We start from the raw sequence: 21,256 nt of genomic DNA, 5'->3' as shown, positions 1-21,256 counted from the left end.
TCAAGGACATTTTACAAGAGGTCCACCTCCTACACATGGAGAAAATCACATGTTCAGGGAGGATCCTGAAAGCCTTGTGCAAATAATGGGAGCGGACAAATAAAGGAAGGTGGCAGAGATTCAGGACTTCTCTGTCAGGCACCAGAAGTTTGGACTGAAGTGAAATAAAGGAATTTCCATGGTGTCCCACAGCTAACTGTTCTCTCCAGCCACGCACAAGTGTGTGTGGCCTTTTATTTATTTATTTATTTATTTTTGAGATGGAGTCTTGCTCTGTCGCCAGGCTGGAGTGCAGTGGCATGATCTCGGCTTACCGCAACCTCCGCCTCCTGGGTTCAAGCAATTCTCCTGCCTCAGTCTCCCAAACAGCTGAGACTACAGGCGCCTGCCACCACGCCCAGCTAATTTTTGTATTTTTAGTAAAGACGAGGTTTCACCACATTGGCCAGGATGGTCTCGATCTCTTGATCTCATGATCTGCCCCCTCAGCCTCCCAAAATGCTGGGATTACAGGCTTCAGCCACCACACCCGGCCACAGGTTGGCCTTTTAAATGAGGGAAGGTCGGCTCAGGGGTCAGTAGGAGACTTACAGCCCTAAGTGTGTGCAGAGTCAGCCACACTAACATGTAAAATATCCACATTTTAAATAAGTATGATAAAGTACATATCAACTGATTGGGGAGCCCCTGGTTAGCACATCTGTATCCAAAACCCCAATGATATAGAAAGGATGAATTGTTTTTCCCTTTTTTTTTTTTCTAATTTAAAAATAATAGAGAAGGAATCTCACTATGTTGCCCAGGGTGGCTTCAAACTCCTGGACTCAAGCAATCCTCCCGCCTTGGCCTCCCAAAGTGCTAAGATTACGGATGTGAGCCACCATGCCTGGCCTCTCCCTTTTTCTTAATCCAACTACTGACAAATGTAACTGCCAGTTTGGTAGAAGGAAAAGTCAATGCATGGAACCTTTGACATGGAATGAGTGAAAGGACTCTTGTGGTGAGAGAATCAGATAACTCTAGAATACACCCCTCCTAATTGAATCATTTTACCATTTTAAAACTATCATTAACGCCGTCTTTTGTAATAAATCAAAGATAAAAAGCAGTTCTGTATCTTGCACAAGTAGATACTACAGAGAGCGAGAGTTTGTATGGAAGTGACGTCAGCATCTTATCCCAGATTTCCCTAGCTCCATCGTCCACCCGCGGCCATTGCACGGAAGCACGAGCTCATCACGTACTATTATGTAGCTTTCGGTGCTCTCCTCACCATCCACAGCTCTAGATGACATGAGAGAGGCAAAAACAAAACCATCACTGCTATGGCTACTGGTCTCCCATTCACTTTTTCTTCTAGTGAAAAAAAAGAAAAGAAGCAAGCTCTCAAACATGGAAGTTCTTTTCTTCAGAATAGTTTTATTAGTTTGCATACAGTTTGTCAACACTCAACTTTTTTCTCTCCTGACACACAAATCCATTCAGCTAGAGCTTTCTTCTCCCCATATTTTACAGATTGTGACATGGTATGGATCTGCAGGCATCTCTGACCTTCGAAGCTTGAGGTTACTGCCACTGCCTGTTGCCATGGCACCTTTAAGATTCTGCACTTCGGACACAAATTTCAAAAGCTCCACTTCAAGTTCGTTTAAGGTATTGAATACACAGTCTTTGTAAAGAGAAGCATTTTGATTTTTCTTTAGTGGAGTGCGAAATGGGAAGCCTCGAAGGCCAGGAGGACTCTGCTCCTGTCAAGAAAGATATTCAAGGTCAATAATATCATGGACTTTGCTGGTTTTGACACAGTTCCAAGACAGTTGGGCTCATTTAAGAAAAGATGGTTCTAGCAGTGCTCGAGTGCAGGCACTGGCAGACTATGGCCAAATTTGGCCCTCCACCTGTTTTTGTAAATAAAGTTTTATTGGCACACAGTCATGCTCACTCATTTCTATATTGTTTAAGGCTGCTTCATGTTACAACAGCAGATTTGAGTAGTTGCAAGGAAGACCGTACTGCCCACAAAGCTGTAAATATTCACTCTCTGGCCCTTTACAGAAAAAGTTTGCCAATCCTTCCTCTAATCAGTTTGGGCACAGGATCATGAAATGCTGGGTCTTTCTAGGGGAGAATACGCTTTCTTTCCCTTTCTCCTTCTACTTGAAAGAATTGTTTATGGTCACTTTGAGGCCCAGCTGTTACTACTTTACACCTTCATCTCTTTTTTTTGTTTGTTTTTTTGAGACACAGTTTCACTCTGTCACCCAGGCTGGTGTGATCTTGGCTCACCGCAACCTCCACTTCCTGGGTTCAAGCAATTCTTTTTTTTTGTGAGACGGAATCTTGCCCTGTCACCCAGGCTGGAGTGCAGTGGCATGATCTCGGTTCACTGCAACCTCTGCCTCCCAGGTTCCAGCTATTCTCCTGCCTCAGCCTCCCGAGTAGCTGGGATTACAGGCACCCGCCATCATGCCCGGCTAATTTTTGTATTTTTGTAGAGACAGGGTTTTATCATGTTGGCCAGGCTGGTCTCGAACTCCTGACCTCAGGTGATCCACCCGCCTCGGCTTCCCAAATTGCTGGGATTACAGGCATGAGCCACCACCCCCGGCCGGGGTTCAAGCAACTCTTATGCCTCAGCCTCCCAAGTAGCTGGGACCACAGGTGCCCACCACCATACCAGCTAATTTTTTTTTTTTTTGAGACAGAGTCTCACTTTGTCGCCCAGGCTGGCGTGCAGTGGCACGATCTCAGCTCACTGCAACCTCTGCCTCCCAGGTTCAAGTGATTCTCCTGCCTCAGTCTCCCGAGTAGCTGGGATTACAGGGGTGTGCCACCACACCTGGCTAATTTCTGTATTTTTTTTTTTTTTTGAGACAGAGTTTTGCTCTTGTTGCCCAGGCTGGAGGGCAATGGCGCAGTTTCGGCTCACTGCAACCTCCACCTCCCGGGTTCAAGCGATTCTCCTGCCTCAGCCTCCCGAGTAGCTGGGATTACAGGCATGCGCCACTACGCCTAATTTTGTATTTTTAGTAGAGACGGGCTTTCTCCATGTTGGTCAGGCTGGTCTCAACTTCCTGACCTCAGATGATCCGTCCGCCTCGGCCTCCCAAAGTGCTGGGATTACAGGCATGAGCCACTGGGCCCAGCTTTTTTTTTTTTTTTTTTTTTTTTTGAGACAGAGTCTCACTCTGTCACCTGGGCTGGAGTGCAGTGGCTCCATCTCGGCTCACTACCACCTCTGCCTCCAGGGTTCAAGTGATTCTCCTGCCTCAGCCTCCCGAGTAGCTGGGATTACAGGCGCCCGCCACTACGCCCAGCTAGGTTTTGTATTTTTAGTAGAGACAGGGTTTCACCATGTTGCCCAGCTGGTCTCGAACTCCTGACCTCGTGATTCACCCGCCTCAGCCTCCCAAAGTGCTAGGATTACAGGGGTGAGCCACCGCGCCTGGCCTAATTTCTGTATTTTTAGTAAAGACGAGGTTTCACCATGTTGGCCAGGCTGGTCTCAATCTCCTGACCTCAAGTGATCTGCCCGTCTCGGCCTCCCAAAGTTCTGGGATTACAGGCATGAGCCACTGTGCCCGGCCTACACCTTTATCTCCTTACAGAAGTTTCATATTTTGTTGGGATGATATCATTTCCATTTAGCTCAGGAATTTTCAGTAAGTCAAGCACTAGGAAAAATGTAAAAAGCAAGGGAACAGTGAATTTGGCCCTGTGAATAATATAATTTTGACCTTCTAAAACACACCATAAGTTCTTTATTTTGAGACAGAGTCTCAGTCGCCCATGCAGGAGTGCAGTAGTGTGATCTCAGCTCACCACAACCTCTGCCTCCAGGGTTCAAGCCATTCTTCTGCCTCAGCCTCCCGAGTAGCTGGGATTACAGACACACGCCGCCATGCCCAGCTAATTTTTGTATTTTTAGTAGAGATGGGGTTTCACCGTGTTGGCCAGGCTGTTCTCAAACTCCCGACCTCAGGCAATCCACCTGCCCTGGCCTCCCAAAGTGATGGGATTACAGCATGAACCACTGCGCCCGGCTGAGTTCTTGAATCTATCCTACATTTGAAAAAATCCATCTAACCAGAAGAACTTTGAGCCAAGAAACTAGAGGTCATCTTCCACTGTTTGTCCCAATATCTGTGGATGTGGGGACTATTGTCTTCACTAAGGATACATCAGGAAGTGAATTTGCCAGCTTTGCCCAGGACCATGAGGTCGGTTCATTATACCCAACGGTGCCGCCTAGACTCACTAGAACATCCGTTTCCCTGAGACTCCTGAGATTGAATCAATATGGTGTAAAAAAAATGGAGCCATCCTTACCTTATTCTTCTCACTGTCTCTTTGACACTGCAGTATCACAAACGGCACAACAGCAAACAAAAGCCAGAGCCATTTGCTCCCAAGCCAGCCTTGGGTGTGCTCTGGTAGGTTCTGCCGAATCCGAAAGTGCTCTCCACACGGCACCTTCCCCTGGGGTTCGCTAGTTTTCTGTCTCAGAGAAGAGAACATAAAGGCATAGCTGCAGGTGAGGCACAGAAGCAGGACCAGGGACGATTTCAGCGTCCACATGGTGAGCAGAGATGGGGAAGGGAGTTGCTCATGACGGGTTTGCTTGCCCTCGCAACTGGAAGACTGGGCACCTGGTGCCAGGCCCTTGGTGATGTCACAGAGGCCCTGAGCTGAGGCCACCCTGGCCATTGTGATGATTTCAGGACAGAGGTTACAGGTCACAGGAGTCGCCCGGGAGGAGGACTCAAAGGGAGATGGGGGCATTTCCAGCAGGCAGTCAGAGAGAGAGGATAGGCACGACGGGGTGCCAATTCCCTGCCAGGGGACTCTTTCCAACCCTCGAGCTTTTGCTGGTAGAGGCCGTCATGTTTCTGTTTTTCATTTGTTTGATCCAAACACTATGATGAGCAGAGGGAGATGCCATGTGCCCCGTGGAGCTGAGTTAAATGGGAGAGAAAGATATTAAACCACAGGCTACCTACAAACTCGGAGCCACCTATGTGTTTTGTTTGGCCTATGTTGTTTCTAAAAATTATTAGTCAGTACTTAAATGTTGTGGGGGGTGGGTATTTCACTTTAAAAGTCCAGGTTTCCGGCTTCCTTTGAAAATATGAGAGCGTGGCCGGGCGCGGCAGCTCACGCCTGTAATCCCAGCACTTTGGGAGGCTGAGGCGGGCAGATTACGAGGTCAAGAGATCGAGACCATCCTGTCCAACGTGGTGAAACCCCGTCTTTACTAAAAATACAAAAATTAGCTGGATGTGGTGGCACACGCCTGTAGTCTCAGCTACTTGGGAGGCTGAGACAGGAGAATCACTTGAACCCAGGAGGCAGAGGTTGTGATGAGCCGAGATCACGCCACTGCACTCCAGCCTGGCAACAGAGCAAGACTCTGTCTCAAAAAAAAAAAAAAAAAAAAAAGAAAAAGAAAAAGAAAGAAAAGAAAATATGAAGAGTTCTGGAAGCACTGGGCCCACACTGTCATAGAACCAGTCTTCTGCTAGAGCCAAGTGAAATCATCCATCCTGTGGCCATATTCCCTCCACAGTCCCCACCACTCCCTATTACCACATACCATCATTGACAGCAGCAGTGTGTGCCTGCCTTGGGTTAAGAGTATACTTTGGAGCCAGGCCTGGTGGCTCACACTTGTAATCCCAGCACTTTGGGAGGCCAAGGTAGGCAGATCACCCAAGGTCAGAAGTTTGAGACCAGCCTGGCCAACATGGTGAAACCCTATCTCTACTAAAAATACACAAATTAGCCAGGCATGGTGGCATGTGCCTGTAATCCCAGCTACTTGGGAGGCTGAGACGGGAGAATCACTTGAACCCAGGAAGTAGAGGTTACAGTGAGCTTAGATGGCGCCACTGCACTCCAGTCTGGGCAACAGAGCAGGGCTCAGTCTCAAAAAAAAAAAAAAAAAAGAAAAGAAAAGAAAAGAAAAGAAAAAAAGAGTATACATTGGGCCAGGCACAGGGGCAGGGGCTCACACCTGTAATCCCAGCACTTTGGGAGGCCAGGGTGGGCAGATCACCTGAGGTCAGGAGGAGTTCCAGACCAATCTGGCTAACATAGCGAGACCCCATCTCTACTAAAAATACAAAAATTAGCCAGGTGTGGCAATGCACGCCTGCAATCTCAGCTACTTGGGAGGCTGAGGCAGGAGAATCATTTGAACCTTGGAGGCAGAGGTTGCAGTGAGCTGAGATCAAGACACTCTACTCCAGCCTGGGTGACAGAGTGAGACTGTGTTTCAGAAAAGAAAAAAGAGTATAGTTCGATTAAAATTGTGGTAAGAGGCCGGGCACGGTGGCTCATGCCTGTAATCCCAGCACCTTGGGAGGGTGAGGTGGGTGGATCACCTAAGGTCGAGAGTTTGAGACCAGCCAAGCCAACATGGAGAAACCCCATCTCTACTAAAAATACAAAAAAATTAGCTGGGCATGGTGGTGCATGCCTGTAATCCCAGCTACTCGGGAGGCTGAGGCAGGAGAATTGCTTGAACCTGGGAGGCAGAGGTTGCGGTGAGCTGAGATTGTGCCATTGCACTCCAGCCTGGGCAACAAGAGCGAAACTCCATCTCAAAAAAAAAAAAAAAACAAAGAAAGAAGAAAAAACAATTGTGATAAGAACAGGAAGCTTTAGAGACGAGCACAAGGGGACTGCTCTATACTAGGTTATGCAGGAAGAGTGTCCAGAAAAAGATGGTTGAGTAGAGCAGGGGAGATGATTAGGAGTTGGTGGGTAAAATGGGAAGGGGCTGAATCCCCCAAGTGAGAAGGAACAGCTAGCTTGACAACTGAGGCCAAGGCTGGGAATGAACCTAGGACTCCACAGTATACCTGAAACCATGAGTTCTTTAAAATGACATGAAACAAGAAATCCTGGGTGCTGGAATGCACGGCTTGTACTTGTTCCCCTGGGTCATCTGTAGAGCTATCTTCCTGAGGAAGGCTCTGATTCGCAGATTTACTCCCGAGGAGCAGAACTTTATGCTGCATAGGAAATAATCAAGAGTCAGCTGGGCACCCTCGCTGTGCCTTAAATTGTACTGAGCTCTGTGGAGTGACAAAGAAGTTCTACAAGCTATGGCCAGGGGCAGTGGCTCATGCCTGTAATCCCAGCACTTTGGGAAGCCAATGTGAGCAGATCATCTGAGGTCAGGAGTTCGAGACCAGCCTGACCAACATGGTGAAACACTGTCGCCACTAAAAATACAAAAAAAAAAAAAAAAATTAGCTGAGTGTGGTGGTGCATGCCTGTAATCTTAGCTACTTGGGAGGCTGAGGCAGGAGAATCGCTTGAGCCCAGGAGTTGCGGCTGCAATGAGCTCAGATGATGCCATTGCACTATAACCTGGGCAACAGAGCAAGACTCTGTCTCTAAAAAAAAATGAATAAATTCTCCTGAGCAGTCTAGGGGAAAAAGAACAGAACACATGTGGTACATACCATAGTTGTTCAATGAATCCTTCTGTAAAATGATGTCTGATCTGGCCCTTATCAACCCAGCAAACCCAACTTCCTCCATTCCCACCTGCCCTGCCAGCGTCCTCTCTGCTCCTCCACATGACAAACTTGAGCAAACTCTTCCCTTTGTCCTGACATCTGCCTGGACCACTTTTCCAGAATCCTTTTCCTGCCTATGACTTTGTCCTCCATTCCTGCTCCTTGCCAAAATGGCATACAGTAGATACTCAGTATGTTGTTGAATGGATGGATGAGTGGGTGGGAGGGTGGATGGGTGGGTGGGTAGATGGATGGATGGGTTAGTGGGTGGGTGGATGGATGAATGGATGGATGGATGGGTGGATGGTTGGATGGATGGGTGTGTGGGTGGGTGGGTGGTTGAGTGGATTTTTGTTGTCGTTGTTGTTTTGAGACAGAGTCTTGCTGTGTCGCCCAGGCTGGAGTGCAGGGGCACTATGTCAGCTCACTGCAAGCTCTGCCTCCCAGGTTCAAGTGATTCTCACTCCTCAGCCTCCTGAGTAGCTGGGACTACAGGTGCATGCCATCACGCCTGCCTAATTTTCGTATTTGTATTTATTATTTGTTTATTTATTTATTCTTTTTTTGAGATGGAGTCTCTGTTGCCCAGGCTGGAGTGCAATGGCGTGATCTCGGCTCACTGCAACCTCCACCTCCTGGGTTCAAGAGATTCTCCTGCCTCAGCCTCCTGAGTAGCTGGGATTACAGGCACACGCCAACACACCCAACTAATTTTTGTACTTTTAGTAGAGATGAGGTTTCACCATGTTGGCCAGGCTGGTCTCAAATTCCTGACCTCAGATGATTCACCTGTCTCGGCCTCCCAAAATGCTGGGATTATAGGACTGAGCCATTGTGCCAGGCCTGTATTTTTATTTTTTAATTATTATTATTTTTGAGATGGAGTCTCACTCTGTCACCCACTGGAGTGCAATGGCACAATCTCAGCTCACTGCAGCCTCCGCCTCCAGGGTTCAAGCAATTCTCCTGCCTCAGCCTCCCAAGTAGCTGGGATTACAGGCACCCACCACCATGCTTCGCTAATTTTTGTATTTTTAGTAGAGACAGGGTTTCACCTTGTTGGCCAGGGTGGTCTTGAACTCCTGACCTCAGGTGATCCGCCTACCTTGGCCTCCCAAAGTGCTGGGATTACAGGTGTGAGCCACCACACCCAGCCTAAGAATAATTTGTTTTCTTTTTTTTTGAAATACGGTCTCACTCTGTCACTTAGGCTGTAGTGCAATGGCACAATATTGGCTCACTGCAAACTCCGCCTCCTGGGTTCAAGCGATTCTCCTGCCTCAGCCTCCCAAGTAGCTGGGATTACAGGCAGGCACCACTGCACCCGGCTAATTTTGTATTTTTAGTAGAGACAGAGTTTCACCATGTTGGCCAGGTTGGTCTCAAACTCCTGACCTCAGGTGATTCACCCACCTCGGCCTCCCAGAGTGCTGGGATTACAGGTGTGAGCCACCATGCCGGGTCTTCTTTTGGGTTTTAATGGCAGCTTCATTAAACAGGGATGATACACAATCATGAAGAAATGTGATTGGGCCAAAAATTAATATGCTCTCATATTAACAGACTGATTGGGGAACCCATCAGGGCCTGTCCAGATTCCTCTTGGTCTCTCTGTGCAGCTTTCCTTGCTCTAGGGTATGCGGCATGACCCTCTCGAATGAGGTCTTTGGGCTCCCAATCTGATTAGAGTCCTACCTTGGGCAGGGAAAGGAGGACAGAAAGTCAGAGAGAGAGATTCTGTTTCCCTAGGACTACTCCTAAGGACTAAAGCACCCCAACTTTTTTTTTTGGACACAAGGTCTGGCTCTGTCACCCAGGCTGGAATGCAGTGGTGCAATCATAGCTCACTGCAACCTCCACCTCCTGGGCTCAGGGGATCCTCCCACCTCAACCTCCTGAGTAGCTGGGACTACAGGTGCATGCAACCATGCCCGGCTAATTTTTTTTTTTTTTTTTTTTTTTTGTAGAGAGGGTTTTGCCATGTTGTGCAGGGTGGTCTTGAACCTCTGGGCTCAAGTGATCTGCCTTCCCCAATTTCCCATAGTGCTAAGATTACAAGTGAGAATCATTTTGCCCAGCCCCCAAACATTATTTTTATTTTTATTTTGAAGACAGGGTCTCACGCCACCACCCAGGCTGTAGCACTACGGTGCAATCATGGCTCACTGCAGCCTCGACCTCCCAGACCCAAAAGATGCTCCTACCTTAGCCTCCCAAGTAGCTGGGACCACAGGTGCACAGCACCGCACCTGGGTAACCATTCTTTTTATTTATTTATTTTTTTGAGACAGAGTCTAGCTCTGTTGCCCAGGCTGGAGTGCAGTGGTGCAATCTCAGCTCACTGCCACCTCCACCTCCTGGGTTCAAGTGATTCTCCTGCCTCAGCCTCCTGAGTAGCTGGGATTACAGGTGTCTTCCACCATGCCCAGCTAATTTTTGTATTTTTGATAGAGACGGGTTTTCACCATGTTGGCCAGGCTGGTCTTGAACTCCTGACCTCAGGTGATCTGTCCACCTTGGCCTCCCAAAGTGCTGGGATTACAGACATAAGCCACCATGCCCAGCCACCATATTCTTCCCGGGAAGATGCTGCCCACCCTTCAGGGCCCGGGGTTGGGACCCTTGAGGGACGCCTATGCCTTCGAGGCAGGGCCTCCTTCCCCTGAGGCCCCAGGCATCTGGGCTGCTGTCTGCCCTGCCTCCCTCTCCTGCTTCTGCTGCAGCCGCAGAAGCCATGGCCTCCTGCCTCATGGTCTTGGTCTTCCTTGCGCCCTGGGTGACTTTGATGCTTGTGAGGGTGACAGCACTGGTCAACTGGGTACCGGCCCCAGAGATGCCTATGCACTCATTCCTGGGACCTGTGGGCCTGCAGTTCATGTGGCAAGAGACATTTTGCAGATGAATTAAATGAAGGATTTTAAGATAAGTCATGATCCTGGCTGCAGGAGGGCAGGTCACCATTCTCCAAGAAAGGGAACCTGGCCCCTTGGGGAAGTGGCTGATTCCAGGATGAAGGCAGGCAATGAACCAGATGAGCATGGAGCATCTTGGGTTGCCAGAAAGTAAGGAATTGCTCAAAAGAGGAAGGGGCTTGCTCACAGAACACAAGTGCCAACCCGAAGCAGCTCCTAACGCCAAAGGTGGGAAAGGTGGAGCCAGAAAATAATCCAAAAAAAAAAACACACCTGTAAGTCCATACAGAAACCCATCCATCAATCATCGGCGAAGGAACAGCTCTTCTTACAGCAGAATTCCAATCAATAAACACTGTAGGAGAGAGGAAAATAGAAATCACCATTAGGCAAGCACCTAAGTATGTACAGAGATGCCATCAGCCACAGTAACATGTAAAATATCCACATTTTGAATAAGTAGGATAAAGAACATGTCAATTAATCTGGGAGCCCCTGGTTAGCACACTTGTATCCAAAACTCCAATGGCATAGGATGAATGAATTTTTCTCCGTTTTCTTGTTAATTTAAAATAATAGAGATGGGGTCTCACTATGTAGCCCAGGGTGGTTTCAAACTCCTAGGCTCAATCAGTCCTCCTGCCTCGGCCTCCCAATGGGCTAAGATTACAGGTGTGAGCCACCATGCCGGGCCTCTCCTTTTTGTTTTTTTCTTTTGAGATGGAGTCTCGCTCTGTCACCCAGGCTGGAGTGCAGCGGTGCGATCTCAATGCAACCTCTGCCTCCCGGGTTTGAGCGATTCTCCTGCCTCATCCCCCTTTTTTTTTTTTTAAATCCAATTATTGACAAATGTAACTGCTAGTGTGGTAGAAGGAAAAGTCAATATACACGGAACCTTTGACAGGGAATGAGTGAAAGGACTCTTGTGGTGAGAGAATCAGATAACTCTAGAATACACCCCTCCTAATTGAATCATTTTACCATTTTAAAACTATCATTAATGCTGTCTTTTGTAATAAATCAAAGATAAAAAGCAGTTCTGCATCTTGCACAAATAGATGCTATAGAGAGCAAGAGTTTGTATGGAAGTGACGTCAGCATCTTATCCCAGATTTCCCTAGCTCCATCGTCCACCCGCGGCCATTGAACAGAAGCACGAGCTCATCACGTACTATTATGTAGCTTTCGGTGTTCTTCTCACCACCCACAGCTCTAGATGACGTGAGAGAGGCAAAAACAAAACCATCACTGCTATGGCTACTGGTCTCCCATTCACTTTTTCTTCTAGTGAAAAAAAGAAAAGAAGCAAGCTCTCAAACATGGAAGTTCTTTTCTTCAGAATAGTTTTATTAGTTTGCATACAGTTTGTCAACACTCAACTTTTTTCTCTCCTGACACACAAATCCATTCAGCTAGAGCTTTCTTCTCCCCATATTTCACAGATCGTGACATGGTATGGATCTGCAGGCATCTCTGACTTTCGAAGCCTGAGGTTACTGCCACTACCTGTTGCCATGGCACGTTTAAGATTCCGCACTTTGGACACAAATTTCATAAGCTCCACCTCGAGTTCCATTAAGGTATTGAATGCACAGTCTTTGTTGGGGGAAGCATTTCTTTTTTTCTTTAATGGAGAGTGAAGTTGGCCGCCTCGAAGGCCAGGAGGACTCTGCTCCTGTCAGGAAAGATACTCAAGGTCAGTAATATTGTGAACTTTGTTGGTTTTGACACAGTTCGTGTTACAACAGCAGACTTGAGTAGTTGCAAGAAGACCATACTGCCCACAAAGCTGAAGATATTCGCACCCTCCCTGGCCCTTTACGGGAAGGGTTTGCCGATCCCTGCTCTCATCAGTTTGGGCACAGGATTATGAAGTGCTGGGTCTTTCTAGGGGAGAACGCACTTTCTCTCCCCTTCCTTTTCTACCTGAAAGAGTTGTTTGTGGTCACTTTGAGGACCAGCTCAAACTACCTTACATCTTTATCTCTTCAGCACAAGTCTCATATTTTGTTGGGATAATGATATCATTTCCATTTAGCTCAGGATTTTGTAGTAAGTCAAACACTAGCAAGAATTTAAAAAACAGGGGCTAGTGAATCTGGCCCTGTGAATAATTTTGACTTTCTGAAACACACCATAAGTTCTTGAATCTATCCTACATTTGAAAAAATCCATCTAACCAGAAAATCTGTGAGCCAGTAAGCAGAGGTCACTTTCCACTCTTTGTCCCAGTATCTGTGGATCTGGGGACAATTGTCTTCACTAAGGATACATCAGGAAGTGAATTTGCCAGCTTTGCCCAGGACCATGAGGTCGGTTCATTATACCCAACGGTGCCGTCTAGACTCACTAGAACATCCGTTTCCCTGAGACTCCTGAGATTGAATCAATATGGTGTAAAAAAAATGGAGCCATCCTTACCTTATTCTTCTCACTGTCTCTTTGACACTGCAGTATCACAAACGGCACAACAACAAAAAGAAGCCAGAGCCATTTGCTCCCAAGCCAGCCTTGGGTGTGCTCTGGTAGATTCTGCCGAATCCGAAAGTGCTCTCCGTATTGCACCTTCCCCTGGGGTTCGCTAGTTTTCTGTCTCAGAGAAGAGAACATAAAGGCATAGCTGCAGGTGAGGCACAGAAGCAGGACCAGGGACGATTTCAGCGTCCACATGGTGAGCAGAGATGGGGAAGGGAGTTGCTCATGACGGGTTTGCTTGCCCTCGCAACTGGGAGACTGGGCACCTGGTGCCAGGCCCTTGGTGATGTCACAGAGGCCCTGAGCTGAGGCCACTCTGGCCATTGTGATGATTTCAGGACAGAGGTTACAGGTCACAGGGGTTGCCCGGGAGGAGGACTCAAAGGGAGATGGGGGCATTTCCAGCAGGCAGTCAGAGAGAGAGGATGGGCACGACGGGGTGCCAATTCCCTGCCAGGGGACTCTTTCCAACCCTGGAGCTTTGCTGGGAGAGGCCATCATGTTTTTGTTTTTCATTTGTTTGATCCAGACATTGTGATGAGCAGAGGGAGATGCCATGTGCCCCGTGGAGCTGAGTTAAACGGGAGAGAAAGATATTAAACCACAGGCTACCTACAAATTTGGAGCCACCTATGTGGCTCAAACTAAACAAACAAAAAATTTGTTTTTGTTTTTTTTTGGGGACGGAATTTTGCTCTTGTTGCCCAGACTGGAGTGCAATGATCTTAGCTCACCGCAACCTCCGCCTCCCAGTTCAAGCCATTCTCCTGCCTCAGCCTCCTGAGTAGCTGCGATTACAGGCATCCACCATCACGCTTGGCTAATTTTGTATTTTTAGTAGAGACAGGGTATCTCCATGTTGGTCAGGCTGGTCTCTAACTTCCGACCTTAGGTGATCCACCTGCCTCGGCCTCCTAAAGTGTTGGGATTACGGGCATGAGCCACTGCGCCCGGCCCACCTATGTGTTTTGTTTGGCCTACATTGTTTTTAAAAATTGTCAGTACTTAAATATTGGGGGGCATTTCACTTTAAAACTCCACATTCTGGCTTCCTTTGAAAATATGGGAGGTCCAGAAACAATGAGTGCACACCCTCATGGAACCAGTCTCTCTGCTGCAGCCAAGTGAAACCGTCCTTTCGGTGGCCATATTCCCTCCACAGTCCCCACCACTCACTATTACCTCACACCATCATTGATCGTAGCAGTGTGTGCCCACCCTGGGTTAAGAGTATACTTTGGGCTGGGTGTGGTGGCTCACACCTGTAGTCCCAGCACTTTGGGAGGCCAAGGCAGGTGGGTCACCTGAGGTCAGGAGCTGGAGAATAGCCTGGCCAACATGGTGAAACCCCATGTCTACTAAACAAAAATTAGCCCGGCATGGTGGCATAGGCCTGTAGGCCCAGCTAGTTGGGAAGCTGAGGCAGGAGAATCACTTGGACCTGGGAGGCAGAGGTTGCAGTGAGCTGAGATCGCACCACTGCACTCTAGCCTGGGCAACAGAGTGAGACTCCATCTCAGGAAGAAAAAAAAAAAGAGAGAGAGTATACTTTGATTAAAATTGTGATAAGAACAGGAAGCTTTAGAGACTAGCATAAGGGGACTGCTCTAAACTAGGTTATGCAGGAAGCAGGAAGAGTGTCCAGAAAAAGATGGTTGAGTAGAGCAGGGGAGATGATTAAGAGTTGGTGGGTAAAATGGGAAGGGGCTGAATCCCCCAAGTAAAAAGGAACAGCTAGCTTGACAACTGAGGCCAAGGCTGGGAATAAACCTAGGACTCCATAGTATACTCGAAACCATGTGTTCTTTAAAATGACATGAAACAAGAAATCCTGGGTGCTGGAACGCACGGCTTGTACTTGTTCCCCTGGGTCATCTGTAGAGCTATCTTCCTGAGGAAGGCTCTGATTTGCAGATTTACTCCCGAGGAGCAGAACTTTATGCTGCACAGGAAATAATCAAAGTTCAGCTGGGCACCTTCGCTGTGCCTTAAACTACTGATCTCTGTGGAGTGACAAAGTAGTTCTGCAAGACTATGGCCAGGGGCAGTGGCTCATGCCTGTAATCCCAGCACTTTGGGAGGCCAAGGCATGCAGATCACCTGAGGTCAAAGAGTTTGAGGCCAGCCTGACCAACATGGTGAAACCTTGTCTCCACTGAAAATAAAAACAAATTAGCCAGGTGTTTTGGTGCACACCTGTAATCTCAGCTACTCTGGAGCTGAGGCAGGAGAATCGCTTGAATCCAGGAGGCGGTGGTTGCAGTGAGCTGAGGTGGTGCCACTGCACTCCAGCCTGGGCAACAGAGTGAGACTCTCTCAAAAAAAAAAAAACCAAAAAATAGTTCTGCAAGACTACTCTAGAAAACCGAAAGGGGAAAACGCTGTTGGGCTGTGCTGCACAGCTTCTTCCTCCATGAGCATGGTGCAGTGTCGGCTGGGGAGTGGGGCTTCCTGCCAGAGACTGGGCACGATGGAGAGATGCAAATCTCCAGGTTGACCAGAAGACGGGCACTTCTCTTCTTGCAGGGGCCCACTCAGCTTGGCAGCTACTGCCTGGAATTACACCCACTGTAGAGGCAGCTGCCCTGATTTCCAGGGCCTTGGGCCACCCTGTGACCTCAGTTTGGAGGCCTGTCCTTGGCATCATGCGGCTCCCTGTCCCCAGTGTTCCCCATTCCAGCAGCTTTGAGGGATGGCTAATTATTTTCAGAGGCCCCCATGTCCATACACAGCCTGTGTCTTTTCTTTGAGATAGGGTCTTGCTGTGTCATCCAGACTGGAGTGCAGTGGAATGATCTTGGCTCACTGCAGCCTCGATAATTTTTGTTTTTTTTTTTGTTTTGTTTTTGGTAGAGACAGGGTCTGGATAATTTTTATTTCATTTTTGGTAGAGACAGGGTCTCCCTGTGTTGCCCAGGCTAGTCTCAAAACTCCTGGGCTCAAGCAGTCCTCCTGCCTCAGCCTCCCAAAGTGCTGGGACTGCAGACAGGAGCCACAGTGCTCAGTCAGCCCGTGTCTTAAGTCGGCTGGGAAGTTTGGTGGCTGTGGTGCGATGGAGCAGTAAGGGGCAAACAGACGTGGTTTACAGGAATGGCCCCAAACAACAGAAATGCTCACAAGTTTTGCCACATGTGATTTTGTTATTTGGAAATGTTCAGTCTTTAATAATGGGAATCACTTTTTCCTATATGTATTCAAAAGTCTACAGCACTCTCCAATAGAGCAGGACCAGTGGGTAAGCAGACCAGATCTTTGAGCCAAACTTGTCTGGGCTGTGGGGTGGGGCGGCACTTCTTTCATTCATTTTGGCACAGCTTTCATTTCATTTGTTGGAAATGAAGTGCTGTGGTGTTGCAGGAAGTCAGGGACCCCAAATGGAGGGACTGGATGAAGCCACGGCAGAAGAACATAAATTGTGAAGATTTCATGGACATTTATTCCTTCCCCAATCAATACTCTTATAATTTCCTATGCCCGTCTTTACTTGAATCTCTTAATTCCGTCGTCTTCGTAAGCTGAGGATGTATGTCGCCTCAGGACCCTGTGATGATTGCGTTATCTGTACAAATTGTTTGTAAAACGTGTTTGAACAATATGAAATCTGGGCATCCTAGAAGAACAGGATAACAGCAATTTTCAGGGAACAAGGGAGATAACCTTAAGGTCTGACTGCCTGCGGGGCCGGGCAGAACAGAGTCATATTTCTCTTCTTGCAAAAGCGAATAGGAGAAATATCGCTGAATTCTTTTTCTCAGCAAGGAACAGCCCTGGGAAAAGAATGCATTCTCAGGGGGAGGTCTCTAAAATGGCCGCTCTGGGAGTGTCTGTCTTATGCAGTTGTAGATAAGGGATGAAATACGCCCTGGTCTCCTGCAGCTCTCCCAGGCTTGCTAGGATTGGGAAATTCCAGCCTGGTGAAATTCTAGTCAGATCGGTTGTCTGTTCTTGAACCCTGTTTCCTGTTAAGATGTTTATCAATGACAATGCGTGCACAGTGGGACATGAAACCTCATCAGCAATTCTAATTTTGCCCTGGACTTTGATCTCGCTCTGCCCCCATTTGCCTTGTGATATTTTATTGCCTTTGAAGCATGTGATCTCTGTGACCCACAACCTATTCGTACACTCCCTCCCCTTTGAAAATTGCTAATAAAAGCTTGCTGGTTTTGCGGCTCGGGAGCAACACAGAACCTGCTGACGTGATGTCACCCCCAGAGACCCAGCTGTAAAATTTCTCTCTTTTGTACTCTTTCTCAGACCGGCCGATGCTTAGGGAAAAGAGAAAAGAACCTACATTGAAATATTGGGGGCTGGTTCCTCCGATACTGTGGGAAATTGAATAGATGCTATTTTGGAGAATTTCAACATCTTTTCAATTTTCTCCTCCCAGCTCCCTCCTTGGTGGAAAGCAGCTTGGGTCCTGGAGGTGGACGGAGGAGGAGGGAGAGCTAGGAGATGCCCCACTTTCCTCTTGGGCACAGCACCTGAACCCGTGGTCTCGGCGCCTGGGTGGGAGCCTGCCCCAGCCGCCACTGATTCCTTCATTTGGTACGGACTGAATGGGGAGAAGGTGCGGTGTGGCCAGGCAGAACTGTCATTCGCCTTGCTGCTTTGGGCCTCAGGCACCTCACCTATAAAGTGGGGGATGGCCATCTTCCCATTGCACTGGGTGGCTGGGGAGTCCCAGGGGAAGAAGCCTGTCAAGTGCTTGGCTGCTCAGTGAGCCCTAAAAATAATGCGAATGATCAGCCCTCCCCAGCCGTTGGTGTATTGAGGCCTCATGCCCAGCAGGAGCACAGATCATGGATACCTTCTTCCCTCAAGCTGGCCAGGAGCCTTGAAGAGTGGTGCCTTAGCAAAATATTAAAGGCTGGCTAGAAATCTCCAAGGAAACCCTGATCCCTCCTGCATGGATGGTCCTGAGGGCAGCTGGAGGGAGGCCCACAGCCTGTTTATTTCAGAGAGGCCCAAAGCAGAGGACTTTGAGATGCTGTAATTTTTGTGTTGAGGATGCTGTGACTCAGTTACCAGAAAAAACTGGACACAGTCAATACATTCAATGCAAAATAAAACTGATTCAGGCTAACATTCAGAAAACCGAACCTGGTAAAAATAATGGTCATTAAAAGAAAAGGGGGCCCAGGCAGCGTGGCTCACGCCTGTAATCCCAGCACTTTGGAAGGCCGAGGCGGGCAGATTGCTTGGTCCCAGAAGTTTAAGACCAGCCTGTGCAACATGGCGAAACCTCATCTCTACAAAAAATAGCAAAATTAGCCGGGTGCGGTAGTGCGCACCTATAATCCCAGCTACTCGGGAGGCTGAGGGGGGTGGATCACCTGAGCCCAGGAGGTCAAGGCTATGGTGAGCCATGATCATGCCACTGCACTCCAGCCTGGATGACAGAGTGAGACCCTGTTTCAAAATTTAAAAAAAAAAAAAAAAAAAAAGGGGGAAATAAAAACAATGAGAAAATGGTTGAGTTTGGCTGTATAGAAAATTGGGGAAATTAAATGGCTAATCCAGGTTTGTTCTGGAAAAGTCCATGACAAAAACGCATCACTTAATTTTTATTAAAATGCTCTATACTCACAATGTCAAAATATCCTTGGGGCCAAACCTTCCCATCAACTGTGAAGCCGGGAACCACACAGGGTTTGAGAAAAAGCAGGGCCACACATGGTTCTCCCTTGCTGGCCTCTCCCTGGAGTTCTGCCCACGTGTCTGTGTCTCCCACAGAACCTGCCTGTTCACCTCCCACCATTCACCTCCCACAGCTCCTTCTGCTTCTGAAGGAAACCCAGGGCCCCGGGGTCTGTATAGAGAACCAGTCACTATCTCAGTCATACCACCGTGTGCAGAAAGCCACGCAGAGGCCTGTGGCTCTTGGTTCTTCATTAGGAGTCTCATGAGAAGTTTCACTAGCTATTGACGTCAACACAACTTATAGGCAGATAAAATGCACCTCTTTTTGGGTACGATTCTCCCTTTACCATCTGCTGGAGGAGAGAAGGGTGGGTTCTTCTGACTTCATGGAATGACTCCTGTAATCACCAATGCAACGGCTGCAATGTTCTTACCCAAGCATGAGCAGAAGGTAGAAAAGATAAAAACACAGAGGAGAGAAGAGGCAGACCAGCTTTATTTTTGAACCCAATCACTGGGTGCCCAACTATGACTCTGCTATCTTCGAAATGATGAGATGGGGCACACTCCCCTAACAGTATTTAGCTAGACCAACAAGGATCCTGGCTCCTCCCAGGGCTGTAGCAGAGGGACGAGGCCCTTCGAAGCTTCTAGTGGGCACAGTGTATTTGAAATCCATCCTTTTTAAAGCCCAGTTTCACTTGGCCTACTTGATTTATTGCTGGTAGCAAGATCATTAGAATTTTAGTTAATTAATATGTGCCAACTCTGCACCGGTGAGGACTCTGGAGTCTCTTGTTACTGCAAGCATAAAAAGTGCAGCCCACAGGGCTTCCTGGCCATGGAAAGGACCAAATGCACCTGCAGGTGGAAGCAAGCATGACCTCGGGCCACTGTGCAGCCCCTCCCATGTCCCCCCTGGAACCGACACGCCTCACATCAAGAGTGGCCACACCAGCTTGAAGGCTGGCCAGGACAGCTTTATGACACAGAACTATAGAGAGAACACACAGCAGCGCACTCAGAGGCACAAAGCGACCTGCCTACGTGGAAACTAAACAACCTTCTGGGGCAGGAGCGGTGGCAGTGCGGGCTTCAGAAGCAGTAGGACGTGTGGGTGACCCAGTGGGCAGACTCCTCCTTGGAGCGCTTGGCGGAGCTGTGAGTGGTAAAGAGGGACTTGTAGGCCTCCGATTCTTCACTGTCAGCGATGGACCTCTTTGTGGCTCCACACGGAGGCTTCCCAGCTTTTCCAGAAGAGCTCTCATTCATTGCTAGAAAAATGAAGAGCCAAAACTGTCAGGGTTGGGATAAAGATGATTCTAAACTTCGCATCCTCAGAAGGGAAGCCCATCAGTCACTCTGTCCCAGACGTTCTCTTGCTGGCTGTGTGAGTGCTGGCGGACGTCATCTTAATTGCCAACTCCAGCAAAGCAGACACAGCACAACACATCTATCATTTACTGTCTTGCTCTGTCGCAGACACTGGTCCCAGCCCCGTGAATGACTTAGATTGTCCTGATGAGGCAGGGCCTGCGTTCCAGGGGAGGAAATGGGCACAGGAACCTGAGTGGCTGTCCCATGTAGAGCCGGGATGGGAGCCTGTCAGCCACCCTGGATGCTACTTAGAGCACAAGATCACACACTCTTAACAATGAATCTGTATTTTTCTTTTTGTGAAATAAATGGTATTTTCTTTGAGTTACAGAGAGTGAGTTTTAGGAGAAACTGATCCTTGGTCAAGAGGCAGCAGAGAGGGGACTCTGAGAGCCACACGTGGAGCCCATGAAAGCCCCAAGAGTAAAGAAACTGGGGGCATTCCCCGCAGGCCCTGAGCCACAGTCCATCTGACAGTCTCTGTGCAACATCTGAGCCAGTTCTCAGCGCAACCTCTTTTGCTTGGCACCAAGCACTTACTCGACAGGAATCTAAACAACCAGCATTTGTGCCCAGACCCCATCACTCCTGCCACGGCTCCTGATGAGGGTGTGTTCAATATTTCTTAGTTACCCCCCTAAAGAGAGTTCAGTGCACTCTCTAGAGACATGACATAGGACAGGCTTGGGCTTCCCATCCACCCACTCCAGTGAAACCTGGACTCGGCCACCTGGGTTTCCAGCCTTCTCGAAACAGCTCCCTGTAGCTACAACAGGACCCACCTGTGCTTTTGGGAGCCAAGTTGGTTTTCTTCTCTCTAGAATCAAGGCTGGCTTCTTCAGGCTTCCCTGTCTTAACTTTTGATGGCCCTGGGGCTTCTGTAAAAGAAACAAAGTAGGCAAAGCAAAAACAATGCAAAACAAAGCATGAACATATTAGCAGACTGCCCTAGAGTCGCATTTTGCTAAAATAAGGATCTCTTGAAGGATCTTACCTTCACTGACATCTGGTTTTGAAACAGACTCTGCTGCCTTGGGTTTCTTTGTTTTCTACAAAAAGATAGAGAATGTTGGAGGCTGTGCTCAGATTCACTCCACTTCAGCGTCAGTGTGGCTGCCCATTGTCCCGGGTGCCCTGTCTGACTGACCGATGCTAGTCACATGAGACAGACAGTCACTCTGAAGAAGGCTTTTGATGTTCCGTAACTCCTAAAGCCTTCACCCTCTGCATGTGACACCAGTCATGCACTTCTGCCTCACACAAAAATGTATCTGCACAGAGCTGCTCACTTTTATATTTACATCTCCCAAATCACATTTG

At 48.2% G+C, this 21,256-nt stretch overlaps 3 protein-coding genes and 1 pseudogene across 11 annotated transcripts in view; 1 reads left to right on the top strand and 3 right to left on the bottom strand.

Annotated features, from left to right (window-relative positions):
* Positions 1-1,399: 1,399 nt before the first annotated feature.
* Positions 1,400-4,674, bottom strand: FAM209B (family with sequence similarity 209 member B). Its single transcript, NM_001013646.4, has 2 exons — positions 4,330-4,674; positions 1,400-1,748 (listed from the first exon to the last, which is right to left on the bottom strand). The coding sequence occupies exons 1-2, from the start codon at positions 4,576-4,578 to the stop codon at positions 1,482-1,484; spliced, it is 516 nt and encodes a 171-aa protein (NP_001013668.2). The 5' UTR covers positions 4,579-4,674; the 3' UTR covers positions 1,400-1,481.
* On the bottom strand, positions 4,330-13,176 carry FAM209A (family with sequence similarity 209 member A). 3 transcript variants are annotated; one of them, XM_047439965.1, is made up of 6 exons: positions 12,863-13,176; positions 11,822-12,116; positions 11,614-11,725; positions 10,715-10,796; positions 6,864-7,016; positions 4,330-4,497 (listed from the first exon to the last, which is right to left on the bottom strand). In XM_047439965.1, exons 1-2 carry the CDS (start codon positions 13,109-13,111, stop codon positions 11,850-11,852), a joined length of 516 nt encoding a protein of 171 aa, XP_047295921.1. In that variant the 5' UTR covers positions 13,112-13,176; the 3' UTR covers positions 4,330-4,497; positions 6,864-7,016; positions 10,715-10,796; positions 11,614-11,725; positions 11,822-11,849. The 3 variants fall into 3 exon arrangements, with proteins under 3 accessions (XP_047295921.1, XP_047295920.1, NP_001012989.2); XM_047439964.1 differs by lacking the exon at positions 6,864-7,016; NM_001012971.4 differs by lacking the exons at positions 4,330-4,497; positions 6,864-7,016; positions 10,715-10,796; positions 11,614-11,725 and having other exon boundaries at positions 11,768-12,116.
* GCNT7 (glucosaminyl (N-acetyl) transferase family member 7) overlaps positions 11,995-21,256 on the top strand; it is a 34,434-nt pseudogene continuing 25,172 nt past the window's right edge. The window contains exon 1 of the transcript NR_160308.1: positions 11,995-12,137. The product of NR_160308.1 is annotated as a glucosaminyl (N-acetyl) transferase family member 7, transcript variant 1, non-coding (transcript). The remainder of the gene's footprint in view (positions 12,138-21,256) is intronic.
* Positions 18,471-21,256, bottom strand: part of RTF2 (replication termination factor 2) — a 50,823-nt gene continuing 48,037 nt past the window's right edge. For 4 of the 6 annotated variants that reach the window (NM_001283035.2, NM_016407.5, XM_017027872.2 and 1 more), the window contains 3 exons: positions 20,931-20,985; positions 20,719-20,814; positions 18,471-19,833 (listed from right to left, as the gene is read on the bottom strand). In NM_001283035.2, coding sequence (NP_001269964.1) covers positions 19,655-19,833; positions 20,719-20,814; positions 20,931-20,985 — 330 coding nt within the window. In that variant the 3' untranslated portion in view covers positions 18,471-19,654. The remainder of the gene's footprint in view (positions 19,834-20,718; positions 20,815-20,930; positions 20,986-21,256) is intronic. The other 2 variants (NM_001283036.2, NM_001283037.2) reach the window with 2 other exon arrangements.

The sequence above is a fragment of the Homo sapiens genome, chromosome 20 (assembly GCF_000001405.40).
Source record: "Homo sapiens chromosome 20, GRCh38.p14 Primary Assembly".
NCBI classification, from domain to species: domain Eukaryota; kingdom Metazoa; phylum Chordata; class Mammalia; order Primates; family Hominidae; genus Homo; species Homo sapiens.
This window is presented reverse-complemented; position numbering and strand designations above follow the sequence as displayed.